This window comes from Homo sapiens, chromosome 8 (assembly GCF_000001405.40).
Source record: "Homo sapiens chromosome 8, GRCh38.p14 Primary Assembly".
In the NCBI taxonomy this organism is placed as follows: domain Eukaryota; kingdom Metazoa; phylum Chordata; class Mammalia; order Primates; family Hominidae; genus Homo; species Homo sapiens.
In genome coordinates, this window is record NC_000008.11 from 102,747,506 (window position 1) to 102,754,811 (window position 7,306).

The 7,306-nt window shown below is 50.2% G+C and overlaps 1 annotated feature.

Moving 5' to 3' along the window:
- Positions 388-1,345: an enhancer, noted in NCBI's record as "H3K4me1 hESC enhancer chr8:103760121-103761078 (GRCh37/hg19 assembly coordinates)". NCBI's record gives its function as "activates a minimal SCP1, AML or CMV promoter by ChIP-STARR-seq in naive H9 embryonic stem cells {active_cell/tissue: H9 hESC(naive)}" and the evidence as "EXISTENCE:reporter gene assay evidence [ECO:0000049][PMID:30033119]".

The following is a 7,306-nucleotide window of genomic DNA, read 5'->3' on the forward strand; positions in this document are numbered from 1 at the left end:
AAAGGGAGTCTGAGCTGAGCTTGCCTGCTCCTCCCACCCAGCCCAAGAACCTCAGTTTCCCTCCACCCAGCACTCCCAGGGCTGCTCTTTACCTGCTGCCCGCTCCATGAGCCGCACCTTTCCTGCTGCCTGGGTCTGCACCTGCCCCCCACCCTCCTGACCAAGGACTCTGGGGGTCCTGACGCCACCAAGGTGAAACCCAATCCTAATGTAAGGCTGGCCCGGGCTGTGAAGAGGAGCAGTAAAGGGTTACAGTAGAGATCCCCGAACCTCATTCCACAGCACCCTCAGGTGGCTGCACAGTTTGGGAAGCCAGGCATTAAGGTAGTCATTAATTAATTAATTCAACCATTTGTGAAGCACTTCCTCTAAGCATTAAACCCTAAACACAACAGCTAATAAGACCCAGCCCTAGGCCCTAAGGAGCTCCCTGTTTAAGTTAAGAGACAGACACAGGAACATGCAATTCATGTGTTCCCCACATTCACAGGAGCAGAGAGTTCAGGAGGAGTGCATAGGAAGGGGATCTGCCCACTTATGGGTGCCCAGAGAGGGCTTCCTGAAGGCAGCATCAGAGAGCTCAATCCTAGAGCTTCAGCAGGCAAACATGGGCAGTACCTAGGGGTAAAGCACAGAGTGCAGCAAGGAGGATACTAGAGAGAGCCTGGCGTTGCTTTAAAGACCTGCAAGGAGGCTGGGCACAGTGGCTCACGCCTGTAATCCCAGCACTTTGGGAGGCCGAGGTGGGCGGACCACAAGGTCAGGAGATTGAGACCATCCTGGTTAACACAGTGAAACCCCGTCTCTACTAAAAATACAAAAAATTAGCCAGGCGAGGTGGGGGGCGCCTGTAGTCCCAGCTGCTCCAGAGGCTGAGGCAGGAGAATGGCATGAACCCGAGGGGGCGGAGCCTGCAGTGAGCAGAGATCGCGCCACTGCACTCCAGCCTGGGCGACAGTGAGACTCCGTCTCAAAAAAAAAAAAAAATTAGCCGGGTGTGGTGGTGGGAGCCTGTAGTCCCAGCTACTCGGGAGGCTGAGGCAGGAGAATGGCGTGAACCCAGGAGGCAGAGGTTGCAGTGAGCCAAGATCGTGCCACTGCACTCCAGCTTGGGCGACAGAGTGAGACTCCGTCTCAAAAAAAAAAAAAAAAAAAAAAAGACCTGCAAGGAATTCACGATACAGGCCAATAAGAGAGGACACTGCAGAGCAAATCAGTGGGGAACCACTGGGGTGTTCTACAAAGGAAACGTCATTGAATCAACATTTTAGAAGCAACATCTAGCTGCAGAGTGAAGAATGGAGGGGAGGATGAGGCTGCACAAGCAGGAGGGACAGCCAGGAGCTGCTGCAGGAGTGCAGGAGCCAGGCGGTGGTGGCTGGGACCAAGGCGATGGCAATAGAGATTGTAGGGGGTACTGGGTGGTGGAGAGGAGCTGAGGGAGAGAAAAGTAACGACTCCCAGGTTCCTGGCTTGGGCTCCTGGGCAAATGGATGGTAAGGCTACTAGCAGGGATCCCAGAGGGAAGCAGGTTTGGGCAAAAGGGTGTGAAGATCCCATTTGGAACTTGGGTTTCAGGTGCCTGTGGGGCCTCCAAGTGGAGACAATCCACTGGGGAAGGTAAACACAAGAGGCTGGAGTTCCAGAGGCTGTTTGGATAAGGGACCCAAGGGAGCACCCAAGGGGGGCAGCAAATCCAATCTGGAAGGCTCGAGAGAAAGGGGGATCCTGGGGAAAGAAGCCAGCGGGAGGAATGGCATGTTCATGTCCAGCTGTAGGTGGCAGAAAGCAAGACACATTTGGGAAACTAAAAGTGGTTCCATGCAGCTTGGGTAAATAAAAAGGTTCCAGAATGACAAAAACAGACAAGTTGTAAGCAGTGGGATTACAACATTTGGACTTCATCTTGAGGGCCATGGAGGAGCCACTGAAAGATTTTCAAAAGAGATGTGCCTTGGTGAGACTGGCTTGTGTAGGGCATGAACTGGCAGGGGAGGGGGACCACTGGTGAACTTCTGGAACATCACAGAGACACCACTTGTGAGCTGCTGGAAAATCACAGACACAAAAAGACTCATCTGCCCCATCTCACTTCATTCATGCACTCGCTTCACTTCACCCTAGACCTAGGCTCTCAAATGATAGCGTTAGAGCCTAGGATCCCTTTTTCCCAGCTCTTAGCTCCACTTCTCTGGCTTCATGCCAGTCTCAGATGGCTCTTCTGTTGGGGAACAAGTTGGCCACCCCAGCTCCAGCCTCACACCCTCCCGTGTTTGAATCCAAAGAGCGTGCTTCTCTCAGTAGCCTCAGCATGACCCTCATGCTGTCTCCTTGGCTCTGGTTGGGTCATTTACTCCTCTCTGAACAAATCCTGCCTCCAGGGAAATGATGTCCTTTGGCTGGCCAGGCCTTAGCCACATGCCCCAACAAAGCACAGTGCGGGAGGAGGCGGGGTGAATTCCCCTGGAGCAAAATCACAGTGGCTGCCAGAAAAAGGGCAGTGGCCATTGGAGGTATGCACGGTGACCTGCTTCCCAGTCCTCCCTAGTGGTCCTAAACTGCGCTTTCCTCCATTCCAGAAGCCAAGGCCAGAGGCGAAGTAGGGTTCTGTGTCTCCCTTCCCTGAGCCACAGGCTCCTGCTCCTCTGGTCCTCAGCTGAGCTCCTGCAGGACACTGTCCTGTTTCTAACCGGAATTCACTTCTCTAAGGGGCTCTGCCATGCATGATGGGTAGCCTTTTATTATACATGGGAATGTATCTCTCTGCCTGGCCCTGTCTCTGTGCTCTCGGGCTGTGTTCTGGAAAGTACTGAGTTTGGCTTCAACTGCACAGGCAGCTTGGGTCCCTCAATCATCGTGAGCCCTGGGAGGACTCTGGCCTTCAGCTGACAGGACTGCACAGACCAGCTCTGCTATCTCTACCTCTGGGGCTCATCATTGAAGCTCTCAACTGCCATTTTCTCATTGACAAAATGGGGTTAATAATGCCTCCCTCAAGGCTACATGAAATAATGTGACAGTTAACAGAGTTCCCAAGGCTTAGACCAGCACTTCTCAAACTATTAATATCTGTGAAGAAGAAACAGTTTTGTTTGTTTTTCTTATCTGTCATAGACCAGTACTTGTGTAAAATATAATAAAAATGAATTACTAGAAAATTTAAAAAGATATGCAAAATACCAGCTCCAATATTTTATTATTATATTCAACTAATATAAAATCATTCTGTCAAATAGCTATAAACATTTCTAAATGCTCATTCTCAGTCTCTTTACTTTCTTATGGGCAACTGGTGACAAATACTTCCTAGACCAGTATGGAGCCACATTTTTTTTGGTAGCACTGAAGTCAGTGAGCCTTCTAAGTAGAAGGCACCTCACAAATGGCTATGGATTTTCTGCTCTTGTTCATGTGATTATTATTTGAAAACTGGCTTTTTCTTTTCCTCCTTTTGCAATTTCAGGTTTCACTGGAGCATGGACTAGGCTTGCTGAGTGGCTGATGGCATAAACAGACTGTATATGAGGCCAGGAGAGCCTCAGCACTGACCTCACCCAGGATACTACCAGCAGCTGCAGCAGACACACAGACTCTCTGATCTCACCAGGCTTTATAACCTTGCAGTGGCAGAGCCAACAGGTCATTCTCCACTATCCCTTCTTCCCTTCTTCCATAATAATAGAGTTTTAGATGGAAACATGGGTTCCCAGCTAAAGACTACATTTCCCAGCCTCCCTTGCAGCTAGGCATGGTCATGTGACTATGTGGCCAGTGGGATGTAAGCAGAAGTGATTCCTGTTCTCTTAATTATGTGACTGCTTCCCTGTCTCCCTTTCCCCACTTCCCATCAGCTGGAAGATCACAAGAACTAATGGGCCGGCCAGGCATGGTAATTCACGCCTATAATCCCAGCACTTGGGGAGGCCGAGGTGGGGGGGAGGGGGTGGATCACCTGAGGTCAGGAGTTTGAGACCAACCTGGCCAACGTGGCAAAACCCCATCTCTAGTAAAAAAAAATACAAAAATTAGCCAGGCATGGTGGTGGGTGCCTGTAATCCCAGCTACTCAGGAGGCAGAGGCAAGAGAATCGCTTGAATCTGGAGGCAGAGGTTGCAGTGAGCCAAGATGGCACCATTGCACTCCAGCCTCGGTGACAGAATAAGACTCCATCTCAAAAAAAAAAAAAAAAAAAAAAAGAACTAGGCCGGGTGCGGTGGCTCATGCCTGTAATCCCAGCACTTTGGGAGGCCAAGGCTGGCAGATCACCTGAGGTCAGGAGTTCAAGACCAGCCTGGCCAACATGGTGAAACCCTGTCTCTACTAAAAATACAAAAATTAGCTGGGCGTGGTGGTAGGTGCCTGTAATCCCAGCTACTTGGGAGGCTGAGGCAGGGGGAATTGCTTGAACCCGGGAGGCAGAGGTTGCAGTGAGCCGAGATTGCACCATTGCACTCCAGCCTGGGCGACAGAGCAAGACTCCGTCTTTAAAAGAAAAAAAAAAAAAAAAAACTAAAGTGCCATAGAATTTGTGCATTAACAGTAGAGTCACCCTAAAAGATCAGGATCTTCAACCTACAGGCATATAAACCCATAGCATTTATTTGTCCAAGCCGCTCTATATGGAGGTTGTTCCGCCACAGTAGCCTAGCCTGGATCCTAATTCTGAAATGAGCAGTGGTAACAGATACCAGCAGGTCTGATTTCACCTGTATTCTGCACCCTTTCTTGGTATCTGAGGAAGGCTTGGATGATCCCGTACTCACAGTGAGTAAGGTTGCAGCTGAGATCTAAGGCCTGAGAAATGTGCAAACAAACACAGTCCCCTAACATCCTTCAAGTACTAATATGCCAGATACAATCCCATCAAATCCTCACAATAGCCCTTTGAGAAAGGGAGATATAGTTGGCTGCACCTTCTTGGAGCTTCTTCCCAAATCTACTCTCTCTCTGACAAGGACACAAGTCAAGAGGAACTGAAACTGGGGAGACTGGAAAGCACAACAGCTGCAGAAACCCAGAATTAGGATGCAGAGCTACAGCCAAAGAGTAGGCTCCCACTTTGAGCAGCTAACTAGAGTGAGCACCTACTGTTTGCCAGGCCCGAGCTAAGCATGAGATGCAGTGGTGAGCAAGCCAACAAGGGCCTGCCCACTTGAAGCTTGCTGCCTAGGTGGGAGGAGACCGAGGTTCAACAGAAAATCATGCATGTGATCATTAAAGTTGGGAAGAAAGTTAGGGAGGAAAAGACTACTGGGCCCAAAGTCGTGAGGAGCTTCAGGTAGGTGATAGGAATGGAGTCAGGTATAGAAGGCACAGTAACTGGGATGGGGGCTGACCTCTGGGGGATAGGGGGACATGGAAAAGACATTGGTTCCTCCCAATAAGGGAACCTAGTAGTCTCACCAGCACAAGGAGGCTGTCTGCATGTTTTTTATGGCACTACAAATGTGGCACCTTTGCCCTTAATAGTCCTAAAACCTGTCCTGTGCCCTAAGAATTTGACCTAAAGACTCTCTCACACTTCCTTGGTTTTACCCCAAGATGATTATTTTCAAAATGTATTTTAAAAAGAAGGAGCTGTGACTTCAGCTATTAACAAAATAACACTCCATATGTTTCTATCAAAAAGGCAATTTTTTGTGATTGAAGAACTCAGAGCCTCCTTGCTGAGAGGTTAAAGAGCCAGAACTGTGAGTTAGGCCTCTCTCTTCGTCTTTTGCTGATCCATGCAGCACAAGGGGCTGAGAAGTTTCTGGAAACAAGTCTGCTTTATCATTTAGGGACGAATTCGTCTGGGAGTCTCCTGCTAAAAACATAACTCCCAAGTCCTGCCATATCAGTTCCCAGGGCTACTATATGCATTTTTGCAGTCGTCTAATTTAACTAGGGAGTAAGTAAAGTGGGGCAGTATTTTACGGAAGGATTCACAGTTTAAATGTTAAATGAGCAAACTTCTATCTGTCCTGCCAGGAGTTCAGGAGGGGCGGCCAGCTTTGGGGGGCATCTCATGCATAACAATTGTCAGCTCAGGCGGAGTACATGGCTCATGCCTGTAATCCTAACACTGGGAGGGCGAGGCGGGAAGGTTGCTTGAGGCCGGGAGTTCAAGACCAGCCTGGGTAACATATCCAGATCCTGTTTCCACAAAAACAAAACAAAAAACTAGTCAAGCATGGTGGTACAAGCCTGTGTGCTTAGCTACTCAAGAGGCTGACGCCAGAGGATGGTTTGAGCCCAGGAGTTCAAGATGGCAGTAAGCTATGATTGCACCACTGCACTCCAGCCTGGGTGACAGAAACCACATCTCTAAAACCAAACAACTGTTAGCCCAGCCCTTGGATTTGAATCTGCACAGGCATGAGCCTCTGCCTAGTCTGGAGAGTCACTGGGAGCTGGGGGGACTGTGGATACGACTCCCCTCATGGCTTCCTGGAGGGTGAGTGCTGCTACTTTCCTCTTCCATAGAAATCTGGGCCTGGGGAAGGTGCCGAGGGATTCAGGAGCACCAAGGCCTGTCTGTCAGGCGAGGGTGGTGTCAGTGAGGCCAGGAGGGAGCAAAGTCAGGTGGTGGGAAGGGACAGTGGCTGCAGGGGGATCATGGTGTGAGGCCCACTTGGGAACACCCCGAGTCACAGTCTATACTCCATCCAGAGCCACTGGGAAGGGGTCCCAGCCTTTAGCCCCAACAGTGGGCTCCCCTGTGGTCAGAGAAGTTGAGCTGGTGGCTCCTCGGATGGGAGTCAGCCCCAGGCCTTTCTGACTCACTCCCTCCAGGAACAGAGGGGCAGAGGCCCAGAGCGGAGATGGTGAGCTGAGTGAGAACTCCAAATCCCCACGCCTCTGGCCTTCTCGCTGACCAATCCCTCCTTCCTTCCCTCTCAGGCTGACACCACCCCTAAGGCCAGCAGCCAAGAGTCTCAGCGGTGTCTTCAACTCAGCCAACCCAGGAGCTGCTCAGCCACCAGGAAAGAAAACCGTGAGTGTCCTACCAGGCAGCAGCACTGAGAGGGGGAAACTCTAACACACACACACACAGGCACACACAGACATACATTCACACACACATATGCACGTACACATGCACACACACAGATTCACACACACAGGTGCACGCAGACACACAGAGATTCACACACACACACGCATGCACACATGCACACACACAGATTCACACACAAATGCACAATGCACACACACAGATTCACATGCACGCTCACACATGCACACACACAGATTCACACACATGCACACGCAAATGCACATGCACACATGCACACACACACATACTGCATGCTACAAAACAAGA